Raw genomic sequence first — 17,044 nt, 5'->3', positions numbered from 1 at the left:
TCTCTAAAATCCTGATGAGCTTCATTTTGAAAACAAGGTTATAAACCATCATGTTTGCTTTTCTTGGCTGCCAGGAAGCTCAGAACAAACACATTATTCAGTCACACAATCTATCTGAGGCCAGGGCTTTAGACTGGGAGGTTGGGGGATGCCTCACTTGTGAGGCAGGGCTGTGTGGGGATGGGGACTTGGATTCAGGAAAGGCTTGGTGCTTATCTGAAAGATGAAACCACAGCGGTGATGAATCCCTGTGTTCCTGTGTATGTGCAGAGAGACAGGTTGGGAACGCAGGCCTTGGGGCAGATAGCCCCGAGTCCACAACCGGCTCTGCCACATCCTAGCTACGGCAAAAGCCACAAATAGTGAATCATCACCCTACCTGTCAAGGTGAGGCTGAATTCTCCTGAAGCTGTTAGCACTAGCCCTGGCAAAAAGTGGGACTCCAAAGACACAAACTAGTATTACTGAAGTTTCTTGGTCACTCTGCATATAAATGCACACGCCTGGGACCTGCTTCGAGGTCGCGGTGGGTCAATGCGGACAGCTAGAAAAACAGTGATTGTGCTTAAATTATTCACGAGGGTAGGATAGGAGCAAAGAAGGCAGAAGAGCAGAAGCTCTGGCCCTTAGGCCTGGAGAGGGCAAGCTCAAACATGCAGCTCCACTGCCCGGCCCGCTTCATCCGCATCTGACCCCCAGCCTGCCCTGCGATGGTGTGAATGGAGCCTCCAGGCCGGTCCTCAGTCCCAACCACAGGGACGATGGAGGCCCACGGCTCCCTGGCCACTCTCAGCGCTCCGGACCACACTCAGCCCCAGGAGGGCGGCCACGGCCCGCTCGCCATTTTGGGCTTCGTGGTTCCAAGAAAACGCGGGAGTTAGCCACGCACCTAACACTCCTCGAAAATAATCAAAGAGCTTGAAGCGCTCGCGGTTGCAGACTCCAAAATAACGCCATTGTTCCCCACGCGGGGAAGGCCGTTTCCGCCCCTGCCCGGGGTGGGCAGCCCAGTCAGGGGGGCTCTTACCGGAAGCCTCTTTCTCCCCAGCAGCCACGACACGCACAGCCGGGCTCGGCGGCTGCGGCTCCGGGGACCGGGCAGCCGCGACGGAGGGTCCGGCGGGCTGTGGGCAGGAAGACGGCAGCCACTCTTTCCTCTAGGCCTCGCGGTAATGAATAACCGGGCATCTGTCTGGGGCGAGCGGACAGGGCGCTCTCGACGCGCGTTCCGCTTCTGTGGGCCGCGCGGCTGGACGAATGGGAGGAGGGGCTCAGCGGGCCCTTGGCGCGGCGACCTTCCGGGTGCCCACGCAGCCATCTTGCCGCCCCTCTTCGCGCTCTCAAAATGGCCTCCCGGGCCCGCTGTGCGGACCGAGGGGAAACAGCCGCGGGCCTGCTGGCGCCCTTCTCTCCTGCCTACCCAACCCCGGGCGTCCTGTGGGCGCGCGCCCCCCGCGCCCGCACTCTGGGGCCTGCGACGACCTTCCCGGCCTGATGGCCTGATGCCAGCTCTGGGCTGCGGGCGCTTCGGGTTCGGAAGGCCGTAGGCCCAGGCGGTGCCCTGGTGTAGACGAGGTGTGAATCTTGGAAAGGATTCTTTGCTTAGGCTCTTGCCGTACCGCGGCTTCCGAGTTTGTGCCTGTTTTTCCAGTTTCCCTAGCTCTGGATCCAGCTCCAGGCCCGCGGGGGCCGGCCTGATCCTGCGCGGGCGGGAAGCAGCCGCGCCACTCCCAGCTAAGGCTCTAGCAACCGAGCGCCTCAGGCTCCCGCGAACGCCGGGTGTCCAAGAAGCCGCCTCCGGTGCTAGAACCGCCAGAGCCGCCATTTACTTTGCGCCCACTGTGTGCTACACGCCGTGTTCTGCCAAATTATGTCACAGAGCACAACAAGCCAGCAGGTGTATGGTTAAAGCCATTTCACAGGTTGAGGGTGAGGGATGACATTGGATCCGGGCCTAGGGAGGAGGGGAGTCGTCTTGCTGGTGACCCAGGTAAAAACACAGGCGCACTACCAACCTGATCCTGGAATTTCCCAACCTCCCAACCCGCAGTCCACTCTCTGAGACATCTGGAGCGGAGTGCGGGTGCGGGCAGCCAGCTCCTCCACCCACTCCCTGGCTCTGGTCGCTCACCTCTCCTCCGGCGGGCCCTCCTACTAGTCAGTGCTGCTAGCTGCTGGCGAGTTCGTGACTGCGAAGAGGGCGCCGATCGCAGGTGGGAAGCGCGCCAAGGAGGGAGGCACCAGCAGGGGAGTAACTGTAAAATAGAGCGGAGATATCAGGCACCCCCCACGCCCGCCCAGAAACGTGCCCGGCCTTCTTGAAGGTGCACTCAGGGTCGCGTAGCGGTGGCCTGAGGGCGGGGACACACGCGTCCTCAGGTCACAACCACAGCCTGGGGAGGTTGCTGGGCACCGGTGGCGCCTCAACCATGCCCTCCCAGGACGCAGGAGAGAAATCGGGTGGGGCACCGGCTAAGGGGGTTGGGGGTCGTGTTCCGTCTCACCTGGAGCTCCTTACCTGCCAGCTAGCCACGCTTCCAGCCACCCGCTTGGCTACCGCAGGGGCAGGCGACGGGAGCGACCCTCTGCCTGCTCAGAGCTGGATCTCCGGAAATGGAGAACCGTGAGGTTCTCACCTGCGACCCAGCAAGCGCATCGCGGAGAACCTGCCCGAGACCACCAAGGGACAACCCTGGCTGCTCCGGACAGCGCCGCTCGTGAATACTGAGATTCGGAACCTTCCAGAGCTGGAACCCCAGGCCATTTTCCGCAGGCGCCAACTGTTAGAAATGCCATACCCCAAGCTAACCTGGGCCTCCCGGCAGCACCCCCTTGGCTCCCAGCCCCAGCCCCCTGGGCAACGCAAATCAGTCCAGATCCTGGTCCCTTCAAATCTCTAAAGACATTTACATGCTCCCCCTCCCCAGGCAGCCAAGCTGGGAACTTTACACCCATGTGCAACCCCGCTCCACAAGCCGTTTTTTTGGGGTCCCGATTCTCCCACTTCAGGCCCAGTGTGTATGGCATGCCCTGGGGGAAGAAGGCAGCTGGTCATCCGTCCTTCTGTGTGATTTGGGGTATCTACTGGGGTGTTCACTGTCTCCAGCAGGTGGAATTTCAAACTTCAGATCCAGACATTTATATGCATCCCTTGCCCCAGCCTGGAAAAAAGAGCTACCGTTTGCTCAGTGCCTACTGTATGCCAGGCACTTTATTTGCATATTTTACTTAATTCTCACATAACCCTTGGAGGTATGGGTACTATTGTCCCCATTTCACCCAGAGATGCCTGTGACTTGTCAAGGATACAGAGTCGTAAAGGCCAAAGCATGCAAAAGAACTCTGTCCCACAGGCATGGGCATGTCCCCAGCCCCCAGCTGCTGCCCTTCTGCAATCTGGACTGCCGGTTTATTAACCTGGTCCTGGATAGTCCTGAGTCTTCCACCCTAGTGCCTCAAATCAGGAATTGTCACCTCCAGAGGCAGAAGAGGCCACAGAGGCAAGCCAGTCCTGCTCTCCCCATGACCAGTGACGAGGAATTTCTGCAGCCCTTCTGGACACCCCAGAAGCATTTCCACCCCTCTTTAGCATAGATCCAGAACCTTGAGGGAAGCTGGTGAAGTGCCACACTGTCCAATAATTCACTCCCAATTTTTAAAATCCTAGTCTACACTGTCAAAGAAGTGGGTGATCTCTCATTATCAGGATAATTCAAGCAGAAGAGAATGAGATGCATTGTCAGGGAGGGCTTGGTATTTTTACACACAACCCCAGTGGAGACCTAAGGAGACTCAGGAGCTAAAGAAAGCATTCTGAGGAAACGCTCCTCTCTTGAGTTCCTTACAAGGGATTTCATCCCAACTGATATTCAGGCAAGAAACCCTAGCTTTCCCAACCTCCATTCTGAGAGGTGCTTTTTCTTTAAATGACGTTAATGGGACATTGTTTCTTCTTTTTCAATGAAACCTCTGTAAGAGACAACCTCCATTAAAATATATATATATATATATATATATATATGTATATATGTATATATATATATGTATATATATATATATATATATATATATCCATTGGGCCTGAGGTGAAAGAAATAAAAAGCAAAAGTGAAGGAAAAAAATAGGTTTTTCTTTTTCAGAAGAGGGTCAAGGACACAGCCCCCACCTGTAGGCTGCCTGAGATGGCAAAGATGGCAGCTGTAGTTGACATGGGTGGGTACCATCAGACTTGGGAGACATCAGGACTGGGGTAATGGAGAGGACAAGGGTCTGAAGTCACAGTCTCCAGAGGGCAGAGGAGAGAGGTCTTTCACAAAACAAACTCAGGTCGATGATGTAAGTCCAGCCTACCCAGGAGGGTGGCCATGGTGCCCAAATCCCTTTCCAACTCCATCTTCCAGGTCCATCTCCACCCCAACAAGAGAGAGAAGCCCTGAGAAATACCACCCAGTACAGTTCTGCAATACACAAAGAGCCGGGATTTGACCAGAGCTAGAGGAAAGCAGCTCCACTCATAGCACCCCCTAATTCATGGGGGGTGGGGGGGACAAAAACTAGGTTGCAAACTGAGGGGGGTTGGGACGGCGAGGCTGACCAGTGAGGGGCTCCAGTGTCTGCACAGATGGAAGCTGAAAGGAAGTTCTAATTAGCACAAAGCCGGCACCTTCCATTAATAGCTCACCACTGCTCCTGGATGCCGCTGAAGGCAGCCAAGTTGGAACGTGTGAGGCTCACCTGTCCCCAGCTCATTAACAGACCTCGGGTGAGAACAGGGCTCTCCTGGAGGACAACCAGCCCATACCAGCTCTCCCAAAGGAAAAAAAAAAAAAATCTAATGGACAGGTTTGACTTCTGGGCCCATCCAAGGGGACAGTGTTTAACACAAGTCCAGTGCTCCTGGACACAAGCTCAGCCAGGCCTCCCAGGACATTGCTCCCTCCAGACTCTAAATAAATTCATTTTCAAAAGCCCTGGCATACATTCCATTTATATGAAACTCTAGATAGGTAAAACTAATCTATGGTAAGAGACATCGGAATGGGGACTGGCAGGGATTGACTGCTGAGAGGTAGGAAAGAAGTTTTTGGAATGAAGGAAATGAGGTTTATCTTGGGTGTTGGTCACATGAGTATAAATGCATTTGTCAGAACCCACAGAACTGTACACCTATGATCTGTTTCTAGGTGTAAATTATACCTCTATTAATATATGTGCGTGTATGTGTATGTGCGTTTATATCACACACATATCCATACAAAGGTCTCGGCCCCTGACTGTTTTCCCCATAGCCTGTGATCTCGTTGATGTGAAGGTTCACACCCTTTTCAAGGGTCACAGTGGAAAAAGAGGCCAGAGCAGATGGGGAAATGGGGCTGTGCACATCTCAGAAACACGAGGCCAGGGCCGGGCGGGGAGGAGGAATGTCTGAATTGAATCAATTAGCTGCAGAAAACTTCAGAAAAGAAGTAAGGCCCTTTATAAAAACAAAGCCCACTCCTTAATCCCCAAAGGCAATCCTCTCCCCCACTCCCATGGCCATTCCTCAGTAAACAAAGAAATCCCTCCTTCCATATCCACACCTCAATATTCATTATGGGCCGACGTTAAAGGCTGCATTCCAGCCTCCCAGAGTGCCCTAATGACTGGAAACCCACGGGGAGATGACTGAGGGCTCTGTCTCTCTTTCTCTTTCTCTCTCTCTGCATTCTCTCCCTATCTCCTCTGCCCATCCCGTGGCAGTCTGTAGCAGTGTTCTTTCTTTCCTTCTCTCACTTTCTTTCTTCAAATTAGTGAATAAGCAAACCAAGCAAATCAAGGCAAAGACATCCCTAACTCTACTTTGTTCATTTATTTTGACAAGTGCAGTTTAATTTTAATTATTTATGGTAATACTTCATAGTAGGCGAGTAAATGTGCCAAGGTATATTTGGTAACATTAATGAAGTCTGCCTAATAGGAACCGTCACTCCAGCACCCCGCCTGGAGAACTGCTTGCTGGAGAAGTGGGGTGAGACCACTGGTCTGTGGTAGGGTTTGCAATTTTTTGTGGGGGTGGGGAGGTGGGGAACTTAATGGGTTTGAGGATTAGCGAAGGGAAAATTAACCCGATTCTAGAGAAGAAGCAAATACGTAAGCCCATAATCATGTGTCGATGTGGATTGTGTGTATTTAAACACTGAGAGAGCACACTTTGTGATAAGGAGGCCCAGGCGTGTACACATGCCACACGCATATTTACACACGAATCTCAAATGTGCAAATCAGCAGAGGCCCACAGAAATTAGGCTCTGGGCAATTAAAAATTGAAATAAAAATGGAAAATGTGATACACGGAGTTCTATATCTCTTCAAAGTGCCTTTCTCCTATTTATATGCGTCAAGTGGGCAAACACAGTGAAAAATTTGGATGATAATAGAAAAGGTAGGGGATTTCTTCAGCCTGTGATCACATAGGAATGCTCCCCTCAACACACAATGAACCATGAAACACTAGTCTCAGTCAATGCAATGTTGTTATTTTAAATGGGACTGATGATTTATAGCACCCCACCCTGCCTCCATCCTTAACATAACTGATTGTTAATATAAGCATATGATTTGGTATATAGACCATGTATACACACACATATATATATATGCACACGTAGAATGGGTATATTATATATACATATGTGAAACCATTTAGTCCAAACACATAGGTAACTGGTACACCTTAAGATACATGCTTCAAGGCATTTATATTAAAATTATCTATAATGATAGATTTAAATCATAACATAATTAATGCTGGACTTTTGAGAATAGAAATATTTGACCTTTTTTTTTTAAGTACCAAGGGCTTCCTGTTTCTCATCTCTGCTTTGTTTGTCCATGCCCAGGGTAGTGTAAGGACATTTCAAGAGACAGAAGTGGGTTATCACCTTGAGACCAACTGCATACCTGCCTCAGGATGGAGTCCAGGATGCCCCCTGAATATAAAAGTCTGGGTTTAGTCCAGCTCCTGGGGCAAGAAATATTAAACTTGGCCATTGCTGGCTTCTTTTACTGGATGATCCCACTTGAGAAAATGGGGCCTCTCCACCACTAAGGTATGCCAAAGGAGGAGGCCCCTTTCTTGGCACAGCCACGTGTAGAAGGTTAGGAATGTATCCAGCTGACTCTCGAGTACCTGACAGGCCATAAATGCAGGTGCCCCTGGAAGTGGCCTCACAACAGCTTCCTACCCTCTCCAACCAGAGGGCTGTCTTGGCCATGACAGCAGGGTCATCAGCTGAAGGCACCTCATTCTCAGCTTTCTTGCCTGGCCCCAAGCTCCTTGAACCCTTCTCCTTAAAGCCATGGCCTGGCTCTGGCGTGGGAAAGGCGGTTTGGAGCTTTTCACAAATCCAGTATCCCCTTGAACCAAAACCAATTAGCCTGGCCCAAGGTCCTGTCATTGAGGCCCTGGCCCTCTTTTCAAACCCCTGCGGCTCAATTGCGGTGAGGGGCTGGCCAGTGAATGCCGGGACCACTTAAAGTGGTGCTTAAGCCAGACCAGGCTTGAAGGAAGGAGCCAGAGCTTTAGGAGCTGCAGCGCCCCATTCTCAGAGCCACTGACCAAGGTTTTGTTCCAGCCACAGCCCCCACCCTGGCTCTATTTTTAAAAATCCTCCCTCCTCTCCCAGCTGTCTGGAGGAGAGATGAAAAGCTGGCTCTAGGAAGCCACGAGACACCCAAACTTGGCTGCCCTGGACAGAAAGGACATCCTCAGGTTCTGAATCCTGCCCCCAAAGGTCTTGCCCAGGGAGAAGGAGCTCTAACACTGACAGAACAGCCGGTGTGCACTGAAGGCTTTCCAGGCATGAGCCTGCACAGCAGCCCATCTTCTGGATGCAAAAACTAAGACCCAGGGAAAGCGACTTGTCTAAAATCACAGCACTTAACAGCAAGAAAATTGGGGGGAAGCGTCTGGGGGCTCCTGAACACCACTGTCTTTGGAAGAGAGACATAGAAGAGGATGAGAGACCAAGATGAGCCTTTATACCAGAGCTAGGTCCTGGGGGGGATGAGAGGACTCGTGGAAGAGCCGCCCCAGGACAAACCCAGGCCCCTACCCAGGCCCCTTCCACACCATCCATTTGTCCCCTGCCTGACCCAGCTGAACTGACCCTAGGCAAAATGGGGTGGGAATGCGGACGAGGCATCACGGCCTCCCTCCATCCGCCCCTCCCCCCCACCTGTCCCCACCTTCCCTTCACACCCATCTAGGCGGAGTGAAGACTTGCCCTCTGCGATGGGCAGCACTGCCAGGGCGCCCTAGCCGTCGCCATGGTGACGCGCATCCCACCCTAGGTCAGAGCTGATTGGTCACTCTATCCAGGCTGGCGGAGGGGGCAGCCAAAGTCAGAGCGGGATGGGGGGAGCTGGGGACACCCAGCCACACCATACACGACAGATGCCAAGGGGGAAGGAAGGCCACTAAAATGGCGCCGCGGCCTCCAAAGGCCGCTGCTGTGGGTGCGCATACCCGGGTTGGAGAAATCCCGGCGGTTCTGCACCGCGCGGCCTCGCCTGGGCCCTGGAGGGCGCATCCGTCCCGCCTGGGCTGTCCCGCGGCTCATGGCCAAGCGCTCCTTGCCCAGCCCGGAACCGGGCGCCCGAGCCAGCGAACAGGCCGGCTCGCCCCAGCTGGCCGAGCCCGACCCGCCGCGCGCTCGGGCCAGGCGAGCGCGGCGCGGCGGATTAGCCCTGAGCCCGCAGCCTCGAGGGCGCGGGGCGGGCGCGTTTGGGGTATGAGGGCGGGGCGGGCGGCGGCCGCGCCTCTAATCCCGGCGCTGCGTGTGGGAGCGGCCGGATCAGGGAATTAGCGCTGTAACTTCGGATTAGTAACGCTCGCTAAATGAGTGCCTAATTCCGACCCTTCATGCTTTTCAGCGTCGCGGCTGAGTCCTAGGAGGCCTCCTGGCCAGGCTCCCTCCGCGCTCTGGTCCCATTTCCCGGGAGGTCCGGCCGCGGCCGGCAGAGAACTCTCCGGCCTGTGGAGATCCGGCCTCAGGCCGCGCCGCAGCCTCCTCTCGGCAGCGCATTTCATTGGCCCGGGCAGAGGCCCATGCAGTCCCACAGCGTTCGGAGTTGGGAGTTCGTGGACCAGAGAAAAGGAAGCCCCGGATGCCTCGCCCACCACGGTGGCTGTACTGATCGCTGCCCTGTCAGTGGCCTTCTGTGCGACCTTCCGTGAGCCACTGGGCCTTTTTACACCATTTCTAGGTGTAAAATGAAAGGAATGGGGTGAGAAGTATCCGAGATTCTCTAAGATTCTGGCTTCCAAGCTGCAGCAGATTCTCGGGATCTCCAACGCCTTTTTGGATGAAGAAAGAGTAGCACAAACCGGAGACAAAAATGAAGCCCAAACGTGGGGAGCCAGTGGCCAGAGGAGGCTTGGGGAAGGCCTTCCTGGGGCACAGGAATGGAGGAGACGAGGGACTGAGAAGGCCCCAGACCCGTCCGGCTACTCCAGGTCCAGGCAGGCCAGAAGACGTTGATGGGCCCAGGCACCAATTTTGAGTCTGTGCCTTGGGCTTTAAGTGTCCAAAGGGGATTCGAACATTGCTCTAGTAGGGGCAGGCATTCGTACCAGGAGGCCGAAATCGGATGGGTTGGCCTCTGGCCTCTGGCCTCTCTCCGAGGGCCGTTTAAGGAAGGTGTGGGATGGGCTCCTGGAGATTAGAACTGGCATGCTCATCGCCCTCCGCAGCCCTGCTGCCGCGATCTTTCTCTGAAGCGGGAGGTTTGCATCAACAGATTTTCGTAGAAAGCGGGAAAATGCCGCGTTGCCCTCCCGCACAGACTCCTCCTTCATCAGACCCTCAACTCGGGTTTCAGACCTGCCCAGATGGTATGGGACAGTGGTGTTTAACAACAACACTCATCTGAACTGTGTAGACACTGCTGGGAAGCTGCAAAGCCACCCTGGCAAGTGAAGGACTAGTTCTTGCAACACAGCAAACGGGTAGGGGTGGTGGGAGGGGAAGATCGAAGCCCGGGGCCCAGGGTTTGCCCACACCCGTTGGCCGGTGAGGGAGGAAGGCAGGGAGTGCAGGGCAAGGGGGCAGGAAGTGCTGCTCCGGTTTCCTCCGAAATGAGGTCACCATCAGCACACAGGCTCCCAGGTGCATTGGGAAGGGAGGGACGGCCCAAGGGATGCAGCCCATAGCCTCGTGAATCCCGAAACACTCTAGTCACCCTTCACCAGCCTCCTGTCAGAAAAAAAGGGAAACTGGCCTTTCAAAATGGAGGTGGGGTACAAAGGGATTCAGAAAACCTTCTGCCCATGATTATCTCTGAGGAGAACCGGGGACCAAAGTAGGAGGGCAGCTGACTTTCCCTGCCTGGTCTTTTGTGTGTATTTTTTATTTAATTTTACTGTGAATGCTAACACACTCACAGGGTTCACAATTCCAAAGGTATACAGTGAAAAGTCTCCCTCTACCATCCACCTCAGCCACACAGTTCTCCTCCCCAGAGCCAAGGGGTTTTCCTTTTGTACTGTTTGAATTTTCACCATTTACATATATACCCTATATTCAAAATAATTTTGTTAGGCAAAGAACAAAAAAGGTTTGCAGGAGTGAAGATGGAAAAAATATTTCTATTTTTACAAGAGGGCTGGGCAAAGGCTGGGAGAAGAGGGGCCGTGAAAATCACTAAGGGAGAGGCTCCAGGGAGTGAAGTGAGCCAAGATGTACGTAAGGTGGCCTGGGGTCCAGCTCTGCCTTCTGAGCTGTGTGACCCTTAGGGAGTCACTTCAGATCCCCAGATCTGTTTCCTCTCATGTAAAAGGGTGAGGGGATGGGGGTCAGGGCTGGGTGGTGGTGCCAGTTCCTTTCAGCCTGTCTATCATAGCACTCACATACCCATATACTTAGAAAGCCCCCCTACCAATCGGGGAGTCTGAGCCTACCTTTCTTCCTTTCTTCCCTGAAGCCGGGCAGGGTCCCTTCCTTGGTCTACAGCCACTCGCTGGGGAGCTTGGGAGGTTTCCCAAGCTACAGGGGCCCTGAGCTTCAGGACAAGCCAAGGCATCAGGGTGGAAAGTGACCTGAAGGCAGATGAGAAACTCGAGAGGGACCCTAGCACTGTGTGGGGCCGGGACCCCCACGCACTGAGCAGGGGCAAGCCCCACTCCCTGAGCCCAGTTAAGAGGGGCTGGGAGCCTGAGTGGCCGGGTGTGCTGCATTGGGTTGCCATGGGAACGAATTCAGATTTCCCCCAATTGCTTTTTTATTTGCTAGACATTGTAATACATCTTATGTCGTGACTTCTTGGGGCAGGGAGGAGGGGGAGCTCTGGGAGCTTGCCTGCACCTTAACCTCGCGGGAAGTTGGGGAGGCTTGGGCAGGAGCAGCCCGGTCGGGGCTGGCGTAGAGGTAGCGGGAGACTGAGCTCGGTTCCTCCCGCCCACCCGCCGGCTCTTGGTTTGTATGCAGGGCAGGGCCGACCCGTCGGGGAGGGAGGCCCCTGCCCTGGCCCCTTGCCATTGAGCGCACTCCCCGCCAGTTCTGCTCCGCTTCACGCTGCACACAGACCCCCCAACTGCACACAAAGGCAGCTGCCAGAGCCCGTGAAAAGTGATCAAATTATCAAGAACTTGACCTCACCGAGGGGCGAAGCTCCGGCAACCCCCCAGCCGTATGCTAATGGCGCTCAGGGGCTGACTCGTCGAATAATTCGATAAAGGCCGCATTGTTAGCGGCAGGGCAGCCCCCAGCCCACCCCATTCACTCCCTCCACCCACCCCCTACCGACCGCTGTCTCTCTCCCATCGCATTTGCATCCCAAAATCCCCGTCCACGGCTCCGGGAGCGGATTGTTCCAGCCTGATTTATGGGGTGAAGGCGAAGGCTGGCGCCTTCCCCTTCCAGCGACCCCTCTGCAACCCCAACCCCCTCCCTCTCCCCGGCCCGCTCCACTTTGGGGTTCCTGCTCCGGCGCTGGGGGATAGGGGTGGGGGACCAGGAAAGAGGAGGACTGGGGGAAAGCTGGCACTGCAAGTGTCCCCAGAGAGAGAGCCGAGGTCAGGTACCTGGTCGGGGCGCGGCCGCTCCGTCGAGCTGGAGTCCGCTGGGCCGGCGCTGGGCTCCTCTCGGCTCCTCTGGCTCTTGCGGGCCGGGCCGGGGCGGTCGGTGGGGCGGGCGCTCGCACGCAGAAGTTGTGAGAATCATTTCTACTTTCGGTTATCTAGCTTTATGACGGCTCTGTGGCACTCATACAGCTAGATAACCAAAGAGAGAAACGGGCCTCCCTTAGCCAGTGCCGCTGCCGCGCCGTGGGCTCCACGTGCTGCTGCCTGCCGAGCGCGGGAGCCTGAGCGGACGCCGTGCCCGGATCCTGGGGCGCACGCGGAGAGCCAGAGGGGATGGACAGACACACGCACACGCTGACTCCCGCCACCTAGGCCCGCAGCCCCCGCCCAGTTCCCTTCCTCCCTCGCCCTCCCGGCGCATTTCTCCCCTGCTCCCCGTTCCGTGCGTCCTGGCACCGGCGCTGCCGGCCTGCCTCGACGGCGTCCCGGGGCTCACGTAGGGCACCCGCGCGGAGCGCTTAGAGAGCCTCGAGCGCCCCGGCCGCCCCCAGCGCACTGGACCGCCGGCCCTCCTCTCGCAGGCTAATCGCCCCGCGGGGAAGTGACGTCAGTCCAGGGATCGGCCAATCACAGGCTCCCATTCAAATCCCAGCCCCCTTCCCGCGCTCCGCACCACCCAGCCTTACAATGGCCTCGGCGTTCACGGCTTCCCCGCCCCGAGGGCAAGGAAGCGCACCCTCTGCCCTCAGAAGCCTCAGGGCTGCGCACCGTCTGATCTTTCACCCAAACTCCTCCGTCTTCCTCCCAGGGCCCAGGGAGCCCAGTACCCACTGCGGACCATCAGAGTTTGGGAGACAAGAATGCTCGAGTGACAAGGTTTAGGGACGCGTGTGATAGGACGTGGCGATCTCCACAGGAGGGCCGAGAGCGCTCACGGAGAGGCCGAGAGCAGAAGCCATTTCACCTTTAACTTCTCTCTTCCTTTCCCCATGCCCAGCACTTGCAGTAGATCTAGCCCACGCGGCAGAGACCAGGGATTGGAGGAAGAATTAAGTGTCCCGGTGAGCGCAGGTCGGTGTCCCACCCATAACACCTGGCACTCAGAGGTTCCTCAGCTATGCTCCACTTGGGCGAGGCCCTGGCCTGGGCCCTGAGTACCAAGCTGCTAGGTCCCTTCTCTCTCTCGGTTCCTAGACACACTAGGAGTGTAAAACCGATTGTGCCAAGCACCTTGGAGAAGTCCTAGGCTCTCTCTTGGCTCCTGGTTAAATTCATATTTCACCAAAAATTAAAGCACAAAGCCATGCCTCCACTCTCCTTCTTCAGCTCTCAGCACACACCTGGCTACTCACTCCAAGTAGCCGCAACAGTGGAAAGGGACTGCCACCTTGGGTCTCCCGGAATCACCCCTAAACTGAGCTGGCAGCTGAATTGGTGGTACCATTGCAGCCTTCCAGATGTGAGTGGCCTATGGGTACCACTTCGTGCTCATGCCAGCCATCACCCCCTTCTTCCTTGCTGCTGTGGCTACCCTCCAGCCTTGAGCCCTATGATTCACCTCCGCCTGTCAGCCATCCCCAAGATGCAAAGGATTCAGTATGAAAAATGCAATATCTTTGCTCCTAGATACCCCCAGAAAAATCTTAAGCTCAACAGCTAGGGAGAGATTTTATGTGGGACTGGGCAAGTGGATTCCCAGATTCCAGCAGTCAATACACGGGAGTCACAGAGACTCTCACTGCTGCTGTCTACAGTGAGCACTGTGGGGTTAGGTGGAGGTACCCGTGCAGATTCATTTTAGTGGGGTCTGGGGCACTGGGCCACTCTGAGCCAGGTAAAACCCTTGCAGGATGGGTTGGAAAGAAGGGGCCAAAAGTGGATGGTTTGGAAAAGATTTCATGATTTTACTAAAAATCTCTTCCTTCCATACACTCCCCTAAAAATGACACATGTGGATTTTGTCAAGTTCTGGATTTTGTCAAATGCCTCTTTCCCCATTGCTTGTCTGTGGTTTGTTCTAATTTCATCCCATCTCTAAATCCGAAGCAGGTGACATCCTGCTCTCATCCCAGCCAGCTTGTGACCAACCAAATCTGCTATGTACATGTTTCCCTCGAAATCCCACTTCGCAGACACATTCCTTTTTCCAGAAGGTGAACAAGGGCTGGACAGCTGAACCAGCAGAGGAACAGAGAGGCCAGCCACGGTTCAGGAAGGAAGCTCTGAATTTGGGCCCGAGACAGTTAATTCCATGAATTTCCATAATTGGGAGGCGCCCCTTGCTTCCCCTCCTCCTGCAGCTCCAGGAACCTGCACCCTCTTCCCTTCTTGATGTGTGTGTGGGCGGCCTTCTGAGCCCTAGTCCTTTCCGGGCCACCCAGGGGTGGGAAGGGTGGGGCTGCGGAGGCAGGGAGGGGCCCAGAAGCATGTTTCACCTGAGAGAGAGGGAAGAAAGAGAGGAAGCGAGGGGGAAGAGGGAGCGAGGAACGAGCCCCTCGGAGTGTGATTTAAGCAGGATGCTGCACAAAATGGCTCCTCAGCGAGACTCGCGGTAACCGCGCGCGGAGGCCGGCCTGCAAGCCTAGGGCGGGTTGGGGCTTTGGGAGAAAGAATTAAAAGCCTGATTTCGATTCAGTTCAGATGCAGGAGGCCACTGTCATCAGAGCCACATCTCTACTGTCTTTTTGGGAAATCGAGTCCCTTCTTGGGAGCAGGTGAGGCTGACCAGGGGGAGGCTCCCACACCCTGCTTGAGTGAGACCGGCCCCAGAATCAGTGCCTCCTCCATCTCACTGTAGCCCCACTCCCAGGAAGAAGGCCACAGAAAGACCGAGCCTCAAGGCCATAGGCTGCTGAGAGGAGGCTGTTCCGGTGGGTCAAGGCAGCTGCAGTCTCCGTGGGTTGGCAGCCGGCTTCCACACACAGCTTAACAGGAGCCCGGGAAGCCATCCAGGTCGACACCAGGCAGAAGCGCATTGTGTGGGCTGGGCACTGCCAGCTGAGGCTGGCAGACTGCTGGGCAGGCCAATTCAGAGACCAAGTGGGGAGAACCTGACCAGCCACCAGCATTGACCCAGATTGCCCCTTTGCCTGCAATTCAGGCTGTGTCTGGGTTCCATGAGCTTTCCCCACACCAAGCCCCTAGCCTTGGCCTTCAGCCCCAGCACAGTCCCTAAAGTTTCAGAAGATCAGGTACTGGGTCTGGCTGGCCACTGGGCACCCAGGCCAAAGCACCGGTGGCAGTTGTTGGGCCCTGGCCATGGTGCTGAGAGCTGCCTGCCAGGCCTGTCTCTCCACCTCCCCGCTTGCCCTGAACTTCTTCCACCTCGCCCCCTCAGTCCTAAACCCAGGCTCCAGGGGCACCTGCAGCTACCAGGAGAAGCTAACAGCCAGAGAAAAAGAAAGCCTCAGCGACTAGGTGCCTCCACGGAGGGCCTGGGACTCAATTTTTCGTATTCAAACCTCCACTGAGGAAAGAGAGCCCCTGGGCCATGAAACTCCCATATCCAGATCAACGGAGATGCCCATTCCTGCTGCAACCACATGCATATCCTGCACTCCCTCAACTCACCAAATCTGCACAATACCCCCTCACACACTTGGCCCTCCGTCTAGCAGCCAGCCTAAGACAGGTGGCTGGTACCTTGCCCATGCATGTACACGTGTACACTCTTGTACCCATTGGCAGTGGCAGCTGCTTGGACTCCAAGCTGGCTTTGGCCCAAGTTCCTGTTTCCTATTGGTAGTTACACAACTCAGCGCGGGGGACCTAACAACCCACAGGAGTGTGCCTTCTATTTCAGGACATAGCAAATTAAGTGGTTAAGTGGCAGGAGAGGGGGACAGTTCTGACCCTAGCCAACAGCCCTGCGCAGGCACCCTTCTACTGAGACCAGACTTGCCCTGATCTAGAGGCTGGGAGCCAGAGGCCAATGGAACTCCCCAGGCGCTACTCCAGGCAGATGCAGCCACCCAGCCTGCAATTCAGCCTGGAGCTAGTGCTCCTTTCCTGAGTCCCACGGGTTCTTAATTAGGAGACAGTGTCTCCAGCCACAATCTAGGCTAAGTCCAGGGTGCCCTCACCCCACTGCCCCCTCCCTCCCTTGTTCCTTCCTCAGGCCCAAGCTTTGATTAAGCTGATCTCCCTATTGTCTGGAGGCCGGCAGGACTGCTAGCTGAGAGACCCAGCATTGGGCCAGCTCAGATGGACCCAGCTCCCTGCACCCAGGAGGTCCCAGAGCCTGCACACCCACCTTCATGTACACGTGGTCAGTCGAGCGGTAATGCTCTCTCTGGCTCCCACATCCAGCCTCTCTCCTCAGCAGCTGAGGTGTGGGCTCTGGGGAGGCCTAAACTGGGCAGGAACCTGAAAACACCCCTCCTGAAAAGGCCTGGACAAAGGACTACCCCTTCCCTGGGGTCTCCAGCAGCAGATACTGCTAATGGAAGTCCTGAGGTGGACCCTGTATGATGCCCCCATCTCAGTGCCCACTTAGCCTAACCTCTGGCCACTGTTCCTTGATTGAAAGGTAGACCCTCAAACTCCATCCTCTTCCCCTCCATGGCTTAAGAATCCCCCTCCTCCAGGATATGGGGACACAAAAGGGGGCTCCCTTTAGGCCCAGCACCTCGATTTCTGCCCAGCCACAAAGATTCAGTGTGTTTTTCTGGACTCCAGTACTGCTTCTGTGATCTGACCCTGGAAGTTCTCCCAGCTTCTGTTACCTCCCTGCTCTGACGGGTCCAAACTGGACCAACTCCCCCACCAACCCTTCTTCCAAAGAAGCCCCTCACTTGACTCAACCTCCACCGCTGCCCATATTCTTCTCCAGCTCAGTGGAGCCTAGGCTGGAGGAGGCTGCAGAGACGCCCACAGACAGATCAAAGAGGCCTGTTCTGGGGCACGGAGTGGGGAGCAGAGTGAATAGGATTTCCCAACAACTTCCCATTTCAGAGGGGGAAAAACGTCATAAATCTTGTCTAG

The 17,044-nt window shown here is 55.5% G+C and overlaps 2 long non-coding RNA genes and 1 other non-coding gene across 43 annotated transcripts in view, besides 4 other annotated features; 1 reads left to right on the top strand and 2 right to left on the bottom strand.

The window, feature by feature from the left end:
- Positions 1-17,044, bottom strand: part of MIR9-3HG (MIR9-3 host gene) — a 36,910-nt gene that overhangs the window by 18,192 nt on the left and 1,674 nt on the right. For 8 of the 41 annotated variants that reach the window (NR_190290.1, NR_190294.1, NR_190295.1 and 5 more), the window contains exon 1: positions 2,132-2,193. The exons of 5 other annotated variants lie outside the window; for them this stretch is intronic. This is a non-coding gene — a long non-coding RNA (MIR9-3 host gene). Of the gene's footprint in view, positions 1-379; positions 545-889; positions 1,250-2,131; positions 2,256-12,061; positions 12,251-17,044 lie in introns of those variants that run through there. 28 more of the 41 variants (NR_190310.1, NR_190316.1, NR_190321.1 and 25 more) reach the window with 9 other exon arrangements.
- LOC107984777 (uncharacterized) lies at positions 1,081-2,642 on the top strand. Its single transcript, XR_001751651.2, has 3 exons — positions 1,081-1,169; positions 2,051-2,213; positions 2,526-2,642. It is a non-coding gene; the product is annotated as an uncharacterized LOC107984777 (long non-coding RNA).
- Positions 1,151-1,200: an enhancer, noted in NCBI's record as "active region_10051". NCBI's record gives its function as "activates an Ori minimal core promoter by ATAC-STARR-seq in GM12878 lymphoblastoid cells {active_cell/tissue: GM12878}" and the evidence as "EXISTENCE:reporter gene assay evidence [ECO:0000049][PMID:35858748]".
- Positions 8,486-9,367: an enhancer, noted in NCBI's record as "H3K4me1 hESC enhancer chr15:89914161-89915042 (GRCh37/hg19 assembly coordinates)". NCBI's record gives its function as "activates a minimal SCP1, AML or CMV promoter by ChIP-STARR-seq in naive H9 embryonic stem cells {active_cell/tissue: H9 hESC(naive)}" and the evidence as "EXISTENCE:reporter gene assay evidence [ECO:0000049][PMID:30033119]".
- Positions 9,368-10,250: an enhancer, noted in NCBI's record as "H3K4me1 hESC enhancer chr15:89913278-89914160 (GRCh37/hg19 assembly coordinates)". NCBI's record gives its function as "activates a minimal SCP1, AML or CMV promoter by ChIP-STARR-seq in naive and primed H9 embryonic stem cells {active_cell/tissue: H9 hESC(naive and primed)}" and the evidence as "EXISTENCE:reporter gene assay evidence [ECO:0000049][PMID:30033119]".
- Positions 12,060-12,673: an enhancer, noted in NCBI's record as "H3K27ac-H3K4me1 hESC enhancer chr15:89910855-89911468 (GRCh37/hg19 assembly coordinates)". NCBI's record gives its function as "activates a minimal SCP1, AML or CMV promoter by ChIP-STARR-seq in primed H9 embryonic stem cells {active_cell/tissue: H9 hESC(primed)}" and the evidence as "EXISTENCE:reporter gene assay evidence [ECO:0000049][PMID:30033119]".
- Positions 12,191-12,280, bottom strand: MIR9-3 (microRNA 9-3). The gene has a single exon (NR_029692.1). It is a non-coding gene; the product is annotated as a microRNA 9-3 (primary transcript).

Source organism: Homo sapiens, chromosome 15 (genome assembly GCF_000001405.40).
Source record: "Homo sapiens chromosome 15, GRCh38.p14 Primary Assembly".
Classification (NCBI taxonomy): Eukaryota; Metazoa; Chordata; class Mammalia; order Primates; family Hominidae; genus Homo; species Homo sapiens.
This window is presented reverse-complemented; position numbering and strand designations above follow the sequence as displayed.